The sequence below is a fragment of the Homo sapiens genome, chromosome 1, assembly GCF_000001405.40.
Source record: "Homo sapiens chromosome 1, GRCh38.p14 Primary Assembly".
Lineage (NCBI taxonomy): Eukaryota > Metazoa > Chordata > Mammalia > Primates > Hominidae > Homo > Homo sapiens.
In genome coordinates this window covers 157,086,914-157,107,496 of record NC_000001.11, presented here as the reverse complement: position 1 = coordinate 157,107,496, position 20,583 = coordinate 157,086,914, and the positions used below count along the sequence as shown (strand labels likewise).

Below are 20,583 nucleotides of genomic sequence, written 5' to 3'. Positions count from 1 at the left end.
TTGGATCCTGGGGCTGACCGAATGCTGGCCTCAGCTATCTCCCTGCCCCAGGGTTCTGTGTCTCAGGGAGCTCTCTGCTGTCATCCCTGTGGCTGAGGTTGAAGATCAGTGGGTGAGGATTGACAATCAGCTGGTGGCTACTACTGGGCAGAGGGAGGCAGGTGAGGGTGTGGACCTCATAGCATGAGGACGGGAAGGAGCAGGGGTGGGCAGAGGGCCACCAGGATTGTGCTCCCACCTGATCCGGGCTGGGGTGTTCTGAATTGAAACCTCTGATGGGATGAGAGGATTCTGCCCCACTCCTACCTCCCTCCCTTCCTCAGACTCTTGGGATCCTTTTCAAGGAACTAGAAGAAGCCTAAAGTCTGAGAACGTGAAGTCTCCTGCTTATCACGAGAGCCCCTGTGATGGTGAGGGCAGATCCAGGCTTGTGAGGCTGGAGAGACACAGAGATGATGCTCCCGTGGCAGAGAGAAGTCCTGCTCGTCTCACCAACTCCTTCCCAGTGGAGACAAGAGGAGAAGGGCTGGGGAGAGTGGTGCTGCTGTCTCGCCACCTCCGAGCCCCTTTCTGGTCCTGCCCAAGGGCAGTGGGGCTCCAGTGGGCACAGGGACCAGGGTGCATGGATGCAGCCTTCAATGAGGCTTTGGGCTTAGTGGAAGTTGAAGGTTCTTGTTAAGATTGGGGTTGGGGTTGAGGCTGGAAGTGGACATGAGGGTTGAGGGTTGGGGATTGAGTCAGAAGGTATCAGAGGCCCCCAGCTGGGGAGAATGGCCTCAGATGCCTGCTTCTCACGCTGCTGTCCTGGTCCCAGTTACTCAGCCCCATGCTGGCCCTGCCAGCTCATCCAGCTCAGCTGTTTGCTAGGAGCTTTCACTTCCTCTGCCTCTGACCTGCTCCTCTGCCACGTCATCGCCTGCTGGAGGGGATTTCTTGTCTCTGTGTTGGGGGGACAAAGGGAAGGATCAGGGGGTGTCCAGGCAGGGGGCTCCCCCAGGCACAGCTGATGGGAATGAGGTTGCCACTAGGGGAAGGTCGAGGGGCGCAGGGGGGATCTGAGGAGGAAGTAGGGGAGTGGGGTGGTGGTGCTATAAGGGCAGGGCAGGGAAGCTGGGAGGCCTGTGGTCAGTTTCCTTCTCCAAAGCATGGATGAGAGATGGGGGGCAAGAGAGGAAAGACAGACAAGGAAACAGAAAGCAACAACAGGAGACAGTGACAGAGACAGCAAAACAGAGAGCACCAGGCTGGGAAAGAAGTGTTGAGACAGGCAACACTCCAGAGGAGGGAAATGGGCATTCCAAGGGGCAGGATAGGTAGGGCAACAAAGAGAGGCCATAGGATCGGCAGACACAGGAAGTAAAGGCAGAAATGGAGAGACCAAGAGAAACTGGCAGAGGAGAGGACAGGGGAGAAGAGAGACAGGAGTGGAAAAATACATGGCAAAATCAATAATGGTGGGGAAGAAAGGCCAAGAGAAGGTTGCTGGGTGGGAAGTGGAAAGAAGGAAAAAGAATTAAAGTGGGAGGGAAGAGGAGAGAACAGTGAAGGAGCAAATGAGGTGAAGAAAGATAAACCGGTCAAACAGAGAGAAGTGGAGACCGGCCGGGGCCTGACAGGCAGAGGGATGGGTGCGGAGCTGGAAGCTGGTCTCCAGACACCCTCGTCCCTTCCCGAGCCCCTGGGTCCCTGAAGGTGTGTCAGGGGATGACCTTCCCCCGACCTTCAGCTGCCCATCGTGACAGGTCTGAGGGGCAGGGGATGGGAGTGTCTGGGTTTGGATTTCTGCTCCACGGAGTTACACAAAACTTTTAAATCCCACGGCCCCCAGGGACCCAAGAGACAAGAGTTGGAGGCATCTGCAAGGGACAGGGGGACTAAGAGGAGGGGCTGGGCAGAGATCTGAGGCTGTATGAGGGGACTGGGCAGTGACAGCAGTCGAGAGGGAGCCTGGAGGGGCGTTGAGGACTGAGGAAAGAGAAGGAGAAGCAGGACTGCTGCTGGACCCCACTCGGGGAGGCTCTCCCAGCTGTGGAGATAGAAGGAAGAGCTGAGGCTGCAGGAGGGAGACAGGGTTCGTCTGGCTGATTCCCAGCACCCAGCATCAAAAAGGGGTCCTCTCTATTGCCTGGGCAGGGAGAGAAAAGATGCCCTTGGGGTCACTGCCAGCATATCCCTTGGTCAGGGGAGAAGGAAAGAGAAGTTAAGGGGACATGAAGGAAGGGTATCTAGCCCTCTCCTTCCCCCAAATTCTCCAAGGAAAAAGGCGACTGGCTTTGACCCTCCCAGGCCCCCAGCCCCTCTTGCTCTCCTACCTAAGCAGCTTTAACTAATAGCATTAAAGCAGGTCTCAGGACTAACCACTCTCCACTTGGGGCTGAGATCAAGAGGAGAGACCAGAAGCTTCTAATCAGATTGGGGATTTGGTGTAGGGGTGGGGGATGCAGTTTGTTCAGGGCTGACGAGCACAAAATACCCCCTGGAGGTCACCAACGCAATGTCTCCAAGGGGTTTCTCCCTGCACTGTCGCTCCTCTAAGCTGGTTTCTCCACTCTGATCTTTCCATCCCCTGGGCCATATTCTGGACCTCACCTGTGTCCACAGCTTTTGATTTCTGCATCACTCTTTCTCTTTCTGATACTCTCTGATTCACTCTCTTTCTTGCTGACTCACATGGCCCATCTCTTCCCGCTGCCTTTGTATTTACACACAGTCCCATTTTCCCACTGAATCAATCAAGCAGTCACTGAAAACACTTGGTTTGTCCAATCAATCTGATTATGCAGTCAATCCACTTCAGCCCCTTAAAAGGCCCCAACAACAAAGGGACTTTTGATGCAACTTTCCACTTTGTATACATGCGGCATTGGTCTTGAACACTCTGACTTTTTTTTTTTTTTTTTTTAAGATTCTGTAGGTTCTTGTCTTTCTCATCCTTTCTGTATTGCTCTCTGCCCATTTGGCTGGCTGTCCTCTGGCTTTCTGGGGACTCTGTGGATAATTTTTCCAGCAAAGAGCCCACATGGAGGGTTTAGACTAGAAGTGCTTCCTTCAGGGCCCAGGGCCTCCCATCAGCCTCACCTCTCTGCTCTGAAGTTTCATCCTCAACTTTTCTGCCCTGATTGACTGATTACAGCTTGGAGCCTGAAGTCAGACAGACCTGTTCCCATCCAGCTCCACCACTTGGCCAGGATATTATGCAAGTCTCTTAATCTTGAGCCTCAATTTCCTTAGCATACAAAACAGATAATGCCCATCTCGAAGGGTTATTGTGAAGAGTCAATGAAGTAACATAGGAAAACATGTTAAACCCCATACTGGGAGCATGATAGGGGCTCAATTCATATTAACTAAAATCTTCAAAAGGTGACCTGTGCTTTGGACATTTCCTTTGGCTCCAAGCCCTAGCTTAAGGCTTACTCTCTACTGTTATCTTCAGCATCTGTATTGCTTTTATTAAGTAATGACCTAAAACATACATGTGTTGTAATGAACATTTACACTGGCCAAGGGGGTTAATCATATTATTAGTAATCAGAATGATGGTGTGATGACAATACTAATTGCTGGCTGCTACAACCCTTCAAGAAACACAAAGTGCTTAAGAGAAGCCACTTTGATCATTTGAGATTGGGTTATGATCCTTTTTGATTTATGGTTTTCAATACTCATTCTCCTCTAAGATCTTGCCATAGGGGGTCTTGGGGAATCAGTGGCTGTGCAGAACCCATGGTTAGAGCTTCCCCAAGCTTTGTGTGTCTAGCCCACAGCACAAGAGGGGAGGAGTGGGAGCCTGGAAGATAGGGGCGGGGTGGGGACGGAATGGGACTACCTCCCCCAGCCTTGGGAGCATCACCACCAGAGCATGGATTAAAGTGAAGCGCATGGAGTTAAGGTTAAGTGCCAAGAACAGCTCTTGGACATGAAGGCAGAACTGAGACCTGGTGTTTTCTGAGTGTTCCCCAGTCAGCTCCGAGGCTCATGTAGAAAAGGAAGGATGGAGGGAAGGCGTTTGGCAGGACTTGTCAGCAGCAAGGATTTCCACACCCAGAGCTGGCAAGCTCCTCAGAGACTTAAGGATCCACCAGGGACTCTCACAGACACGGGAGAGGCTGGGGAGGAGACTGCTGGCATCAGGAAGCTTGGAGACTTGACCTTGCCTACTCATGCCACTTTGGTTTTGTATTTTGAGGCTTTTTTTCTTTTGGGGGAGTCGGGGAGGGGGTGTTGGGAGCCTACCTAGATGGCCGAACACTATAAATCTTGACTCAAGGTCTTGCTTTCCCCTCTTTTATTTAAGAGCTGTATGGCCTTAGGGAAGTTATGCAACCCCTCTGCTACCTCCTGTGAGGTTTCAGTATATGTCTATTTCAATCGCTTAAAGTAGTGCAGAGCACACTGAGTGTCTGGTCAGTGGTGGGGTTTATTATTCTCTTCTTGCCAGATCCTAAATCTACCCTAAGGTTTCATTCACATCCTTCAGACCAGAAAACACCATCAGACTCAGCAGGTGCCAGGGGGAGCCATAGGAAATTCTATCAGCTTCCTCCAGAGAACAGTCGTACCTTGGAATCTCTCAAAACTCACCTCTGCACCCTGCCCCATTTCCCAGCCCATTTTCCTAAGGTGAAGCAGAAGAGATCCTAATCAGATTGAGGTTTGACTGAGGAGGAATTTCCAAGTAGACAGGGAAGGAAAGGAGGTTGGAAGAGGAGTGGGGGCATCTGCTTCAGGGGAGGAAAGGGGAGAAGACTCCAGAATGTCAGCTGCCAGTTTAGAGACAGAGGGATGAGTAGGATAACCTATTCATGCAGATTCCAGGTGAGCTTGGATCTACTCACTGCCCTATTCACCTTAATTTCCAGAGACACTCTCAGTTCAGGCCACAATGTGTGCCTCCAAGCTCCCACCCCTAACTGCCTGTCTGTCAGTTTACATCCCTGGCACTGAGCATTCCCTGGGAAACGGAGAGCGAGAGACCAGATGATTTGGTGCCAGGAGTGGGAGGTGCCAGGATTCTTACAACCTGAAGTGTCTAGGGTTCCCTGACTTTCTGATATCCACAGCCTCTTTTTGCTGCATCCCATGGGTTCTATGGGTTCTCACTGCTCAAAGTATGGTCTGCAGACCAGCAGCAGCAGCATCACCTAGGAGCTTGTTAGAAGTGCAGAGTCAGCTGGGCGCGGTGGCTCACGCCTGTAATCCCAGCACTTTGGGAGGCCGAGGCAGGTGGATCACGAGGTCAGGAGATCGAGACCATCCTGGCTAACACAGTGAAACCCCATCTCTACTAAAAATACAAAAAATTAGCCGGGTGTGGTGGCGGGTGCCTGTAGTCCCAGCTACTCGGGATGCTGAGGCAGGAGAATGGCGTGAACCCGGGAGGCGGAGCTTGCAGTGAGCTGAGATTGCACCACTGCACTCCCGCCTGGGCAAAAGAGCAAGACTCTGTCTCAAAAAAAAAAAAAAAAAAAAAAAAGAAGTGCAGAGTCTTGGTTGGGCACGGTGGCTCACGCCTGTAATCCCAGTATTTTGGGAGGCCAAGGCGGGTGGATCACTTAAGGTCAGGAGTTTGAGACCAGCCTGGCCAACATAATGAAACCCCATTCCTACTAAAAATACAAAAATTAGCCAGTCGTGGTGATGGGTGCCTGTAGTCCTAGCTACTTGGGAGGCTGAGGTGGGAGAATTGCCTGTACCTGGAGGTTGCAGTGAGCTGAGATCATGCCACTGCACTGCAGCCTGGGTGACAGAGTGAGACTCTGTCTCAAAAAATAAATAAATAAATAAATAAATAATAGAAGTACAGAGTCTTAGGTCCCCCAAATCCCACTGAATCAGAATCCGTATTTTAAAGAGACCTTCAGATCATTCCTATTCGCATTAGAGTCTGAAAATCACCAACATAGATTTTTTTTTTTTTTAAGTCTTAAGGCAACTCAGTATATGAGAAAGTGCTATGGATTAGGAGTCAGGGGGCAGGGCAGCTAACTCACCACCTGTCTTTGGTCAAGTCATTTTCCCTGTCTGAGCCTCCTCTGGAAAGTGAGGAAGCAACTCCAGACAAATCCTCACATGCCCTCCAGACAAATCCTCACACGCCCTCCAGACCTCACAGCCTAATAAGTTCTCACTGAGACTACTGCACACTAACTCCACCAGAGATGGAGAGCCAGGCCCGGGTCACGTAACCCTGTTCACAGGCAGTCCTAAGCGCCCAGGAACCTCCCAATGCCCTGGCCCACCAGGAGCAGTTCCCATGTGCTGCATCCCCAAGGCAGCCTCTCCCAGTCCCTTTGCATATTGTTTCATCTTCCATTAGTTATAGTGGAAACCAGCCTTTTGCACCATCCAGAAGGCTTTCTGTTCCATCCAGAAGGCTTTAGAGCTTAGATATTTTGTTCTCTTTTCCTATATCAGGCAAGTCTATCTCACTAGGGCTCATTCCATAAACTCCCCACCCTTCTCAGCGGAGAACCACAAGATTCCCGGTTCCTGTCCATGGTTCACCAATTCAACAAATATCTATAAAGCACCTTTGAGTACGATGTCCTGTGCTACGATGGGATCTGGGGAGCCAGCAGAGGAGAACAAGACAGCTAGGGTTGCTGATCTCGGAGCTGACACTCTGAGCGGGATACAGATGTTCAACAAAGAAGACACTATCTATAAGTCCATTACCATTCATTCATTCGATCAGCAATCATTTATTGAACACCTATTTTGCGCCAGGCCCTTGGGACTGGCAAAAAAAAGCCCATAAAAATTCCTGCTCGTCTGGGCACGGTGGCTCACACCTGTAATCCTAGCACTTTGGGAGGCGGAGGCAGGCGGATCACCTGAGGTCAGGAGTTTGAGACCAACCTAGCCAACAGGGCGAAACCCTGTCTCTACTAAAAATACAAAAATACGCTGGGCATGGTGGTGGGCACATGTAATCCCATCTACTCAGGAGGCTGAGGCAGAAGAATCGCTTGAACCTGGGAGGCAGAGGTTGCAGTGGGCCGAGATCTCACCACTATACTCCAGCCTGGGTGACAGAGCGAGACTCCATCTCAAAAAAACAAACAAACAAACAAAAAAACCAAATTCCTGCTCTTCTCAAATGTCAAATTGTTTGAAATACAGTAAAGGCGGCCAGGTGCAGTGGCTCACACTTGTAATCCCAGCACTTTGGGAGGCCGAGGTGGGCGGATCACGAGGTCAGGAGTTCGAGACCAGCCTGGCCAACATGGTGAAACCCCATCTCTACTAAAAATAAAAAATAAAAAAAATTAGCTGGGCGTGATGGCATGCACCTGTAATCCCAGCTACTCGGGAGGCTGAGGCAGGAGAATTGCTTGAATCTAGGAGGCGGAGGTTGCAGTGAGCCGAGATCACCCCATTGCACTCCAGCCTGGGCGACAGGGTGAGACTCTGTCTCAAAAAAAATAAAAAAAGAAAGAAAGAAAGAAAAAAAAGAAATACTGTAAAGGCACAGGTATGTGTATATGCCACCTCCTTCCCACTCAAGATTTAGAATGAGCCCATGATTAATTACATTTCCTTTTGTCTTCTCTTGGGAAAAACTCCAATCCTGTTAAGCCCTAAGAAGAGATCTCATTCTCTGTCTAAATCCCCCAGCAGGGGCAGGATATAGGACCCTTTGCACTTCTCTCCATCTATATAAGTAGCTCAGCCGGAAGCCCTGAGTCCGAGTCAGCCCTGGGCAGCGGGGAGGTCCCCAGAGGGGGCTGGGCCCTGTCTGGGTATGGGGAAGCTTGCTGCCTCTGGTTCCCTTTTCTCCCCTTCACTGGCAACCTCTTGTCCCTTCCCTTTTCTCTCTTTCTTTCCTGACCCTCTCCCTTCCTTCCTTCTTTCCCTCCATTTTTCCTTCCTCTTTCACTGTCCTCCCCTCTGCCTCCTTCCTTCCCTTCCTCTTAAGTGGTGACCATTTCCCCAAGGCCCAGACACAGCCCATCTCGCCGGAGTGGACCATGCACTGCAGCTGCTTGGCTGAGGGCATCCCAGCCAACCCCGGCAACTGGATCTCAGGTGAGCCTCTTGGCCGGGCCTACCCCCTGCTCCAACGGTGGCCTAGGGCAGGGCCTCCAGAGCCCTCACTCTCCCCTCTCCACCCAGGGTTGGCCTTCCCTGATTGGGCCTACAAAGCCGAGTCGTCCCCAGGCTCCCGGCAGATCCAGCTGTGGCACTTCATCCTGGAGCTGCTGCAGAAGGAAGAGTTCCGCCATGTCATCGCCTGGCAGCAGGGAGAGTACGGGGAATTTGTCATCAAGGATCCAGATGAGGTGGCCCGCCTCTGGGGCCGCAGGAAATGCAAACCACAGATGAATTATGACAAGCTGAGCCGGGCCCTCAGGTGAGAGGAGGCGGCTGACATGGCCAAAGAGGGGGGATTTCAAGGAAAAGGGCCGTGGTTTCTGGTACCCCTGCTGACTCCCACCCCTCCAAGGCTTGGGAAGTGTCCTGGCCTGTGGTGAGCAGCCTAGTGGTTCTCGGGGAACAGCTTAGGGTCAGCCCGGCTAGGGAGGAGAATGTGACTGGGTCCCTGACTCTATTCTCTGACTGCTGGGCCAACTCTATTCTCAACTTCGAATTCTCCAGATATTACTACAATAAGAGGATCCTGCATAAGACCAAAGGCAAAAGGTTCACATACAAGTTCAACTTCAGCAAGCTCATCGTAGTCAACTATCCTTTGTGGGAAGTGCGGGCGCCGCCATCCCCCCACTTGCTGCTGGGGGCCCCTGCCCTGTGTCGGCCAGCGCTGGTGCCCGTGGGTGTGCAGAGTGAGGTAAGAGCGGAGGTGGCCCCTGTCTCAGGGCTCCACCAGGTCCTACCCCTCTGCCCAGGAGGCTCCCCACCCTCCTCTTTGCCTCTGGGGCCCATCAGCCTCCAGTTTTCTTCTCCTCCTGCATCCTAGACCCTGAGTGCCCCAGAGGCAGGGGTATTAACAATCCAGGTGGTACAGGACCCACCTGTGAGAAAGGGTGGCTCCTTCTGTCCTAGTCGCCACTCCTTTAGGGGTGGATCAGAGGGAAGGGCCCAGGGCATCTGAGACTGTAGGCAGCCGTGGCAGTGGGCTTTTAACAATGGGTATGAGAGGCCAGGCGTGGTGGCTCACACCTGTAATCCCAGCACTTTGGGAGGACGAGGTGGACGGATCATTTGAGGTCAGGAGTTCGAGACCAGCCTGGACAACGTGGCAAAACCCCATCTCCAATAAAAATATAAAAGTAGCTGGGCATGGTGGCACATGTCTGTAATCCCAGCTACTAGGGAGGCTGAGGCAGGAGAATCGCTTGAACCCAGGAGGCAGAGGTTGCAGTGAGCCAGGATGGCGCCACTGCACTCCAGCCTGGGTGACAGAGCAAGACTCCAACTCAAAAAAAAAAAAATCGGTATGAGAGTATTTCATTGTTTTAGCAACTGGCTAACAGTACCAGATTGTACTGGAGGATACATGCCAAGGAGAGCCCATCACACCTCGCACCTACTTCTCACCCCTCAGCTCCTGCACAGCATGCTATTTGCCCATCAGGCCATGGTGGAGCAGCTGACAGGACAGCAGACCCCCCGAGGGCCACCAGAGACCTCTGGGGATAAGAAGGGGAGCAGCAGCAGCGTCTACCGTGAGTGCTCAAGGCTGGGAGGGCCCAGGGGGATCTTAGCCAGAGGAGGGAGGGCCCTCCTGGCTGAGTACATGGCTGAGGGGGCATGAGACAAGGGATACTATGTAACTCATTCATTCATTCGACCAACATTTATTGAACACCAGCTATTTACTAAGTGCGGGGGTTCAGAGATGAAAGGCTCAAGAGGCTCAGAACCTAGTGGGGAGCAGAGATGGGATTACTGCCAGCGACTGCTGCTGGCATTCAGGTAAGCACTAGGTGCTGTGCATTCAGGCCCAGAGAAGGAACTGGGGCTTCCCAGAGGACACAACACTGGGGCAGGTGAAGGAGGTGGGAAAAGATGCCTAAGCAGAGGGAATAGCATTTATTTATTCTTTTTTTTTTTTTTTTTTTTGAGACGGAGTCTCAGTGTTGCCCAGGCTGGAACACAGTGGCAGGATCTCAGCTCACTGCAGCCTCTGCCTCCCAGGTTCAAGTGATTCTCATGCCTCAGCCTCCTGAGTAGCTGGGACTACAGACATGCACCACCACGCCCAGCTAATTTTTGTATTTTTAGTAAAGACGGGGTTTCACCATGTTGGCCAGGCTGGTCTCAAACTCCTGACCTCAGGTGATCCACCCGCCTCAGCCTCCCAAACTGCTGGGATTACAGGTGTGAGACACCACACCCAGTCAGAAATAGCATTTATAAAGCAAAAAGCTGTGAACAAGTGTAGCAAATCTGGAGAACAGCTGGTAGTTTGCTGTTGGAGAGCAAGTCTTGCGATGCGGTGGGAACAAGCAGGACGGATGAGAGACAGGGCTGGCAAGGCAAACAGGTGTCAGGCCACAGAGGCCGCACAAGCCATGCTAAGGGAGCAGGACTTTCTCCTGTGGGCAGGAGGGACTGGGAGGGAGATCCATGGTCAGACTTTCATTTTATTTTACTTTCTTTTATTATTTTTTGAGATGGCGTTTTGCTCTTGCTGCCCAGGCTGGAGTGCAATGGCACAATCTCGGCTCACTGCAACCTCCGTCTCCTGGGTTCAAGCGATTCTCATGCCTCAGCCTCCCAAGTAACTGGGATTACAGGCATGCGCCACCACCTTGGCTAATTTTGTATTTTTAGTAGAGACCAGGTTTCTCCATGTTGGTCAGGCTGGTCTTGAACTCCTGACCTCAGGTGATCCGCCTGCCTCGGCCTTCCAAAGTGCTGGGATTACAGGCGTGAGCCACCGCGCCCTGCCAGACTTTCATTTTATAAAGATGACTGTGTGTGTGTAGAGTTTGGGTTGGAGGAAGCATAAGACTGGAGTTGGGAGGCTTTTGAAGATAATCTAGGCAGGAGATGATGGGGCGGTAACCAAGACAACGGCCATGGGATGAAGAAGGAGGCTCAGCTGGAGAGAGATTGGGAAGATAGGGTTCATTCACTCATTCACTCACTCATTCATTTCTTCTTTCAACAGATGCTTAATGACCTCCTGTTTAATTTGCCAGGCACTGTCCTAGGGGCTAGGAAGCCAATGTGAGCAACACTGCCTTTATGGGACTTATAGGCAAGGGGGGTGCAGATATTCAACTAATGATCGATAAGTGATTATAACTGTGCTAACTGCTGCAGAGGAGAAGTGCAGGGTGCCGAGGGCATCAGGGAAGACTTCCTTGACAAAGTGACACTTGAGATGACACCCAAAGTATACGTGAGTGTCAGCTTAGCTCAGAGGGAGTAGGGAGAGCATGGCGAGCGAGAGAATAGTGTGTGCAATGGCCCTGGAACAGAGGGCGAGCGAGAGAATAGTGCATGCAATGGCCCTGGAACAGAGAGACTGGGAGAAGGCCAGTGCAGAAACACATGGCCAATGAGTGGGAGAAGAGGTGGAAATGGAGGCAGACATCAGCTCTTACAGAGGCTGTGAGCTGGGAACTGACAGTATCAGATTTTCTGTGAAAAAGATCACAGAGACACTTGGCCAAACCAAGGCTCTTGTGCAGAGGTCAAAGAATTGCCCCTCTACTCCAGCCAATTTCATGGAAGAAGGATCCATGGCCTTCACCCCACCCCTGAGCTGCTGGGGGCCCAAGCTCTGCACCCCTGGGAGTGCAGCTGAGGCCATGGGTGTGGGGTGCTCCAGGGCCTGCTGGGACTCGCTGGGCCTGGTCTGGCAGCCTGGAGCTAAATAGCACCTGAACAGTCCTCCCTGTTTCTCCACCCCCACCCACCCCGTCCCAGCTCTGGGAATGCCTTGGGCAGAGAGCTTCTCTCTTTAGGAAACTATAAGGGAAAGAAAAAAGTGTTCCCTCTCCAGGTGGATAGTGGTAGAAAAAAAAAAAGAAAGAAAGAAAGAAAGAAAAAAGTGTTCCCTCCCAAGCCCCACTTGGAGTGGGCTATTTTGCACCTCCCTCCCCTCTGCAGGCAAACACACATGCCCTGCCTATGCTTTGGCCCTAAGGGATGCTAAGCAGGTATAGGTCACCAGAAGATTGGAAGCAGCCACATGCCCCACTTCTAGATTGAGATTCCAGAAGCCTGTGCCAGCCCCTCACCTCCACCCCTCACTCAGAGCATTTGGTGCCAAGAAAGGAAGCTGCTTCCGGGAGTGCCAGGTCTATTGAGCCGGAGGCAGGGAGCTGCAGGGCCAGTGCTGGGAAAGGTTGGGAACCTGTTGGAGAATGAGAGGAGGACTCTTAGAAATAAAAATATCTCTTCCACATGCCCTCAGGAGCCCCGAGGGACACAGCCTTCCCGTGCAACAGCAGTCTCCACCTCATCTAAGGACCCAAGGAAAAGGACAATGACCCAGAGAGAGGGTGTTCTGATAGGGGCCTCCACACTTGTTCTTTAGAGGATCACTGTCACTGTTTTCTCCCTACATAGATCTGACTTCAGAAATATTCTTCTTATCAAATACACTGGACATATTAAGTAATAACTAATTTGTTTTTCCAGGTTTTTTTTTTTTTTTTTTTTTGAGACAGAGTTTCACTTTTGTTGCCCAGGCTGGAGTGCAATGGTGTGATCTTGGCTCACTGCAACCTCCGCCTCCCGGGTTCAAGCAGTTCTCCTGTCTCAGCCTCTCAAGTAGCTGGGATTACAGGTGCGTGCCACCACGCCCGGCTAATTTTTGTATTTTTAGTAGAGACGGGGTTTCATCACATTGGTCAGGCTGGTCTCGAACTCCTGATCTTAGGTGATCCGCTCGCCTCGGCCTCCCAAAGTGCTGGGATTACAAGCGTGAGCCACCACACCTGGCCTGTTTTTCCAGTTTTTATTCACTACAGCCCAACCAATGTGACTAAGTTGGGTTGATGCTTGTTCTTTTAGTTAAATGATGTGGTCTTGCTAAGAAAAATGTGGAATTGCAGTTAGGCTTTTCGAAATACAGAAAGTGATGTGAAGTTCTATATAGTCATCTCCAAGGCCCCCAGCTGGGAGGCCCTATTGTAGGGCCCTGGCAGGGTTGGAGAGGGAAAGAGGCAGGATTAGAAGGAGCAGGAAGAAGGAAGCCTTTTTGGAGGTGGAAAGTTATGGACCAGAGTGAGACAGAGAAGAAGGAGGCTGGGGCTCCCCATACCTGCCCTGGGCCTCCCGTCATGCACTCTGCAGGGCCTCTTCTTACCCATGACACAGCTTAATCCAAGCTAGGAGAGGGGATTTTATGGATGAAGAAACAGAGGACTGCAAATTTAAATGACAAGGCCAAGGCCACACAACCAGTTCTTTGCCCGGCTAGACTGGAGGCCCTTGCTGCAGGGGCAGGGAGTGAAGAATGGATCCATTGAGATATAGCAGAGAATATCCTTCCCTTATTCACTGGACACATTTTTCTTGAGCACTGATTATGTCCAGACTGGGTAGATTCGAGGGAAAATAAAACAACTACAGCCCCTGCCCCCAAAGAGTTGGGCTCACAGACATTAAATAAAAAGCACACAAATGACTACATGACCCTAACTCAGCCGAGTGCCCTTGGAGGAGAGGTTCATGGAGGGATGAGAGCAGGCAGCAGGCACTCTCGCCTAGGCTAGGAGTCTCAGAAGTCTTCTCCAAAGAGTGATATTTATGATGAGGCCTAAAGAAAAGCAGAAAAGGAGCTGTGCGCGGTGGCTCATGCTTGTAATCCCAGCACTTTGGGACGCCAAGGCAGGTGGATCACCTGAGGTCAGGAGTTCGAGACCAGCCTGACCAATATGGTGAAACCCTGTCTCTACAAAAAAATACAAAAATTAGCCGGATGTGGTGGCATGCACATGTAGTCTCAGCTACTCGAGAGGCTGAGACAGGAAAATTGCTTAAACCCGGGAGGCGGAGATTGCAGTGAGCCAAGATCACGCCACTGCACTCCAGCCTGGGCTACAGAGCAAGACTCTGTTTAAAAAAAAAAAGAAAAGAAAAAAAAGAAAAAAGAAAAGAAAAGCATAAAAGGAAGGGCAAGCCTGGCAACATGGCGAGACTCAATCTATACAAAAAACACAAAAATTAGCCAGGCATGGTGGCACACGCACCTGTAGTCCCAGCTACTCAGCAAGCTGAGGTGGGAGGATCGTTTGAACCCAGGTGGGGTTCAAGCCTACACTGCAGCCTGGGTGACAGAGAGAGACTCTCTCTCAAAAAAATAAGACAGAAAGAAAAGGAAGGGCAGTGGGGCGAGGAAGAGACTTCCAAGCAAGAAACAAGAAGGGCTGGGAAATGGGAGGAGCAAGGAGCATCTGCGAGAGGTTGGGCTCCCTTGACCCTTTCTCTCTTTCTTTCTCTAGGACTTGGCTCTGCCCCAGGCCCCTGCCGGCTGGGCCTTTGCTGCCATTTGGGGAGCGTCCAAGGCGAGCTGCCTGGTGTTGCCTCCTTCACTCCTCCCCTCCCGCCCCCTCTGCCCTCCAACTGGACCTGTCTCTCGGGGCCCTTCTTGCCTCCTCTCCCGTCAGAGCAGCAGCTCCCAGGGGCTTTTAAGCCAGACATCCTGCTCCCAGGACCTAGGAGCCTCCCAGGGGCCTGGCATTTTCCAGGGCTTCCTCTCTTGGCAGGGCTGGGACAGGGTGCGGGTGAGAGGCTTTGGCTCTTGTCCCTCAGGCCCGAGGGGCTGGAAGTAAAGCCTGCTCCCATGATGGAGGCAAAGGGAGGCCTGGATCCCAGGGAGGTCTTCTGCCCAGAGACCCGCAGACTCAAAACTGGGGAGGAAAGCCTTACTTCCCCCAATCTGGAGAACCTCAAAGCAGTGTGGCCCTTGGATCCTCCTTAACTAGAGAGGAAGGTGGGAAGTTGGGGAGGAGTCCTCCAAAGTCCATCTCTCCTCTTGCCCACCGCCTCTGGGTTAGCCCCTTCCCCTGGCTGGACATGGGCTGAAATTGCAGGATTTGAAGGGGTGGAGTTGGACCCAAGGTGGGGAGCATTGCAGGGAAGGTGTGAATGTGGAAATGGGAAAAACCAAGACAGGGTGCCCCTCCTCTTTCACCATATTGCTAAGCAGACTAAGGGGACATTCCTAATCTCAACTTTTCTTCAGGGAGACGAGAATAAAGTTTCTATAATTTCCATCCTGCCCACATAAGGGGGAAAATTAAGGGTCTAGCCTGGGGAGAGGACAGGGGTGGTTGTGTTCCCTGAGTCTTGTCTGGGGCCCATCTCCCCATTCCAGGCTAAGGTCTCCAGTCCCTTTCTCACCCCTCCATGCAACTTCTCTCCCATCCCTCTGATTTCTGAGACCCTGGAAACCCCTGTCCCATGCAGGCACTTCCTCCTCTCTCCATTTCCCCAGGACCCAGGCAAGTGGGGTGGGGAGACACTGGCCTTCTCTGCTCTGTAATACTCCACTGTGACCATGAATAAAATGCCCTTGCAAACTGTCCTCTGGCTGACCACCCCCCCCTGCAGTGGACCCCCATCCTCCCACTGTGCTCCTCCTGCGTTCTGGACTGGTGTGATGGGAAAAGGCCCGAACAGGAGTTTGGAGGAGGACCTGAGGCCTGGAGTGGAGCTACACATCCCACCAGCCAGTCTCTTCCCTCCTGCCAGCATCTCCTCTCAGACAGAAAGGCTGGAAGGAAGCCAGGGCATGAGGAGCTTCCTGGGCACAGTGGGAAACCCGCCTCAAGGGAGGAACTTCAGACTACAGCAGGGGTCCTTAAAGAACGGCCCTCAGATCCCTGTGGACCACCTTGGAGCAGAAGGGTTGGGTGAGGAGGAGGAGGAGGATGCTGTCAGGGGCCCCTTTTCCTCTACACCCCAGGCCCTAAGAATGCCAAGCAGAGCAGCAGTGAGGCATCAGGTGCCTGGAAAGTAGGGGACATGTGACAGAGAGGGTCTTTTGCCCAAACAAGGACATGCCAACAGAGAGGGGTGCCCCAGGAGCCATGACTGTTGATCCCATCACCCTACTGTCTCTAGGCTGCCAATTACAAGCCTAGGATTTGTCCCCACTCCCTTTCTATGACATGGAGCATGGACTCGTGTGGCACAGAGGGCCCCTTTACTCAATGTTTGTCCCTGTTCCTCAGCCCCAGGAGTTGGTGCATCCTTCTCAAGGACGCCCTGAGCACGTGCTTCTGCAGCCTCTCAGCCCTTCTTAGTGGCATATGCATGGCCACAGGGCCACACATGGAACTGGGAAAGGAGAGACCCAGAGTGGGGCAGGATGGGCCCTCGCTCCTCAGGAAGGTGGTGATGGACACAGCACACAGGTCCTGGGTTTCCAAGCTGGATCTAGGCCAGGAGAAAGGATCTATGAGAGTTCTTCATCTCAGTCTCCCTCCTTCATGTCAGATGCCAAGAAAGTGGGGACCACAGAGTTTCTCTCCTGAGAGTTCCCAGCGCTACAATGAAAACTGCTTCTCACTTGCCCCCAAAGCCACAGGCCCATCCCTGGCCCTGCAGGAAGGACGAGCTCCCAGGGGCTTTCCCATCACCCTGCCCAGTTTTGGGAGACAAAGAGCTAGTGTTGTCTGCTCCAGCATAAGGAACTGGATGGTTTTGTCATGGGGTTTGGGCCCTGTTCAGAGAGACCAGCTCCTGGGACAGAATTGTTCTCCTTCATGGGGATCTTCACATGCCCCTCTGCCAGACCCCACTGCCTCTTCAGTGCTTTGTGGTATCTGTGACCCTCACGTCTCAGGCAATGGGAAATGCCTCGAGGTCACTCTTCTAAAATTTCTCTTTGGAGTAGGTGAAACTGGGAGACTAAAAGCTCAGCCCCGGAGGACTTACATTTCCAGATGGTGCACTCTGCGTCTAGGCAATAGATTCGAGTGGAGCAGACTTTTTCAACCTTGGCACTGTTGATATTTTCGGCTGCATAATTCTTTGTTGTGGGCGGCTGTCCTGTGCATTCCTGGGCGTTTAGCAGCATCTGGGGCCCCTACTCAGTAGATTCCAGGAGCACCCTCCCCCACCCGGTTAGGACAACCAGACTGTCTCCAGACATTGGTAAATGTCTCCTGGGGAGAGGGGAGAAACTGCTCCCAGTGGAGAACCACTTAAGTAGAGAAAGGCTTCAGCAAATCCAGATGTTCTGGCAAAGATGGGAACCAGGTTCCTCGGACTCAGAAGACTGTTGGTCTCCACAAGGCAAGAGTGCCCTCTGGTGGCCAGAGTCAGTACCGGCGGTCGAGAGGAGCTCAGAGCCCCGGCCTAGGCTGGGTGCAGAGCCCACAGCCGACTCTGAGGTGAAGGGGTGATGCCCACCTTGGAATCCTCTGAGAGGAGGAAGAGAGTTGCAGAATAAAAGCATTTTGTGAGAACCTTCCCATTTCAAACCCCCTTAGCAAATCATGGACTATCCACCAAAGGCGTATAGGTCTAACGTAGCAACACACTCTGCAGCCTGTTTGTTTCTGGTGCAACCAGGTGACAGCACATCCTCTGGCCATCTGTGACTGTGACTGTCAGCCTCATCTGGGGATAGAATGCTGTGGATGCTCAGTCTTCTTCCAGGACAGTGGACACCGGGCCGAGACACAGCAGAGTCAGCTCACCTGCCAGCCCTGCTCCTGGGCACTCGGCTCCACCGTACCAAAGGCACGTGCAGATACACACCTGGGCCTCGGGAGTTTCAGGGAGTCAGGCTCCCGGGCTGCACTGTTAGGAATCAGAAGGGACCTTTGAGAGCATCAAGTTCAAGTCCCGTAACTTCACAGGCCCAGAGAGAAGAAGGTACTTGTTCAAAACCAAACAAGAGAAGAATCAAATGTAGAACATACATTTCCTAATTATCACTTAATGTTCTTTCCATTTCACCATGACCACTCAATTACAGAATTGAAAATCCCTTAGAAATGAGTATATATGTGAAGAGAAAAGTTTTAAAATTTATTCCTGAGTGATTATTTATTTATTCGTTTGTTTATTTTGAGACACGATCTCACTTTGTCTCGCAAGTTGGACTGCAGTGGCATGATCTCGGCTCACTGCAACCTCCATCTCCTGCGTTCAAGTGATTCTACCACCTCAACCTCCCAAGTAGCTAGGATTACAGGCGTGGGCCACCATGCCAGGCTAATTTTTGTATTTTTACAAATACAAAATTTGTCTCAAACTCCTGACCTCAGGGGATCTGCCCACCTTGGCCTCCCAAAGTGCTGAGATTACAGGCGTGAGCCACCGTGCCCGGCCCGCCTTGGAGATTTAAAAACAAAAACAAAAGCAAAGTATTTGCTGTCCTGAGTTGTTGGTGAGAGTGAGGACAATCCCCGTCCTCCCCCTTTCATTCCCTAATGAAGACCCTGACCCAGGGGGAAGAAAAAAATTCAAGCACCATATAAATATTTTATACATAAGATTTCAGTGCTCCACATCTTGTCCCACGGGAAAGTCTTCAGGGGCCATAACATGCATGGAGCTGTCATCTGCTATAACAACGCCTTCTTCTGGAATACCTCGTGAATGACCTGCCTGAGGCAATCCTGATTGTGCCCAAATAGACATGGATAATACTATACATGCTGCTCCATAACACAATATTTCATGGATGTCTTCCCAATTAAATATATAAAAATAAACAGTCATGCATTGCTTAATGACAGGGATACATTCTGAAAAAATGCATTGTTAGGCAATCTTTGAACAAACATCATAGGGTATATTTACCCAAACCTAGATGGTACAGGCTTCCACACACCTAGGCTGCACATGGCCTATTGCTCCTAGGCTACAAACCTTACAGCATGTTACTAAATACCATAGGCAGTTGTAATACAATGATAAGTACTTGTGTATCTAAACACAGAAAAGATACAGTAAAAATACAGCACAAGAGGTAGAAAATGGTACACCTGTAGAGCACATTTTGCCATGAATGGAGCTTGGAGGACTGGCAGTTGCTCTGGATAGGTCGGTGAGTGAGTGTTGAATGAATATGAAGCCTGAAGATATTACTGTACACTGTATAAACACTATACACTTAGGCTACACTCAATTGATTTAAAAGATTTTTTTCTGCAATAATAAACTAACCTTAGCTTACTGTAACCTTTTTACTTTTTATTTTATTTTATTTATTTTATTCATCTATTATTTTTATTTTTATTTTTTTTTTTTGGAGACAGAGTCTTGCTCTGTGGCCCAGACTGGAGTGTAGTGGCACGATCTCGGCTCACTGCAACCTCCGCCTCCCCGGTTCAAGCCATTCCCGTGCCTCCCAAGTAGCTGGGATTACAGGAGCATGCCACCATGCCTGGCTAATTTTTTGTATTTTTAGTAGAGACAGTGTTTTGCCATGTTGACCAGGCTGTTCTTAAACTCCTGACCTCAGGTGATCTGCCTACCTTGGCCTCCCAAACTTTTTTACTTTAAAAGCTTTAATTTTTTTTTTAACCTTTAGACTCTTTTGTGGTAACACTTAGTTTAAGACACAAATACACTGCACAGATGTACCAAAATATTTTTTCTTTATATCCTTATATGTAAGGATATTATCTCTATTCTATAAGCTTTTTTGTATTTAACAACATTTTTAAATTTATTACTTTTTAAACTTTTTTGTTAAAAGCTAAGACACAAGCGCACACATTAAGACACAAGCACATGGGCTGGGCGCAGTGGCTCACACCTATAATCCCAGCACTTTGGGAGGCCAAGGCAGGCGGATCACAAGGTCAGGAGATCGAGACTATCCTGGCTAACATGGTGAAACCCATCTCTCCTAAAAAATACAAAAAAATTAGCCAGGCGTGGTGGTGAGAGCCTGTAGTCCCAGCTACTCGGGAGGCTGAGGCAGGAGAATGGCATGAACCTGGGAGGCGGAGCTTGCAGTGAGCGGAGATAGTGCCACCGCACTCCAGCCTGGGCGACAGAGAGAGACTCCATCTCAAAAAAAAAAAAAAAAAAAGACACAAGCATGTGGCCTGAGTGGTAGCTCATGCCTATAATCCCAGCACCTTGGGAGGCCAAGGTGGGAGGATCACTTGAGCCCACGACTTCCAAACCAGCATGGGCAACACAGGGAGACCTCTTCTCTATAAAAAATTTAAAAAAAAAATTAGCTGGGCCTGGTGGCATATGCCTGTGGTCCCAGCTACTCAGAAGGCTGAGGTTGGAGAATAGCTTGGGCCTGGGAGTCAAGGCTTCAGTAAGTTGTGATCGCTACTACACTCTAGCCTGTGTGACAGAGTGAGACTCTGTCTCAAAAACCAAACCAACCAAACAAACAAAGACACAGACACACACAAGTGCAGGCCTACACACAGGGTCAGGATCGTCAGTGTCACTGTCTCCCACCTCCACATCTTGTCCCACGGGAAAGTCTTCAGGGGCAATAACATGCAAGGGGCTGTTCATCTGCTATGAGAACAACACCTTCTGGAAAACCTCCGGAAGGACTTGCCTGAGGCTGTTTTACAGTTAATTTTTTTGAATAAGTGGAACGAGAACACTGAAATAATGATTTAAACGTGTAGTACAGTAAATACATAAGCCAATAACATAGCCATTTATTATCATTATCAAGTATTAGGTACTGCACACAATTGTATGTGCTATACTTTT

At 50.8% G+C, this 20,583-nt stretch overlaps 1 protein-coding gene across 1 annotated transcript, besides 3 other annotated features; it reads left to right on the top strand.

Annotated features, from left to right (window-relative positions):
- Nucleotides 813-1,032: an enhancer, noted in NCBI's record as "active region_1886". NCBI's record gives its function as "activates an Ori minimal core promoter by ATAC-STARR-seq in GM12878 lymphoblastoid cells {active_cell/tissue: GM12878}" and the evidence as "EXISTENCE:reporter gene assay evidence [ECO:0000049][PMID:35858748]".
- Nucleotides 1,227-2,188: an enhancer, noted in NCBI's record as "H3K4me1 hESC enhancer chr1:157075101-157076062 (GRCh37/hg19 assembly coordinates)". NCBI's record gives its function as "activates a minimal SCP1, AML or CMV promoter by ChIP-STARR-seq in primed H9 embryonic stem cells {active_cell/tissue: H9 hESC(primed)}" and the evidence as "EXISTENCE:reporter gene assay evidence [ECO:0000049][PMID:30033119]".
- ETV3L (ETS variant transcription factor 3 like) lies at nt 7,689-15,454 on the top strand. The gene is made up of 5 exons (NM_001004341.2): nt 7,689-8,031; nt 8,119-8,356; nt 8,602-8,791; nt 9,509-9,629; nt 14,370-15,454. The coding sequence occupies exons 1-5, from the start codon at nt 7,974-7,976 to the stop codon at nt 14,846-14,848; spliced, it is 1,086 nt and encodes a 361-aa protein (NP_001004341.1). The 5' UTR covers nt 7,689-7,973; the 3' UTR covers nt 14,849-15,454.
- Nucleotides 17,477-17,998: an enhancer, noted in NCBI's record as "H3K27ac-H3K4me1 hESC enhancer chr1:157059291-157059812 (GRCh37/hg19 assembly coordinates)". NCBI's record gives its function as "activates a minimal SCP1, AML or CMV promoter by ChIP-STARR-seq in naive H9 embryonic stem cells {active_cell/tissue: H9 hESC(naive)}" and the evidence as "EXISTENCE:reporter gene assay evidence [ECO:0000049][PMID:30033119]".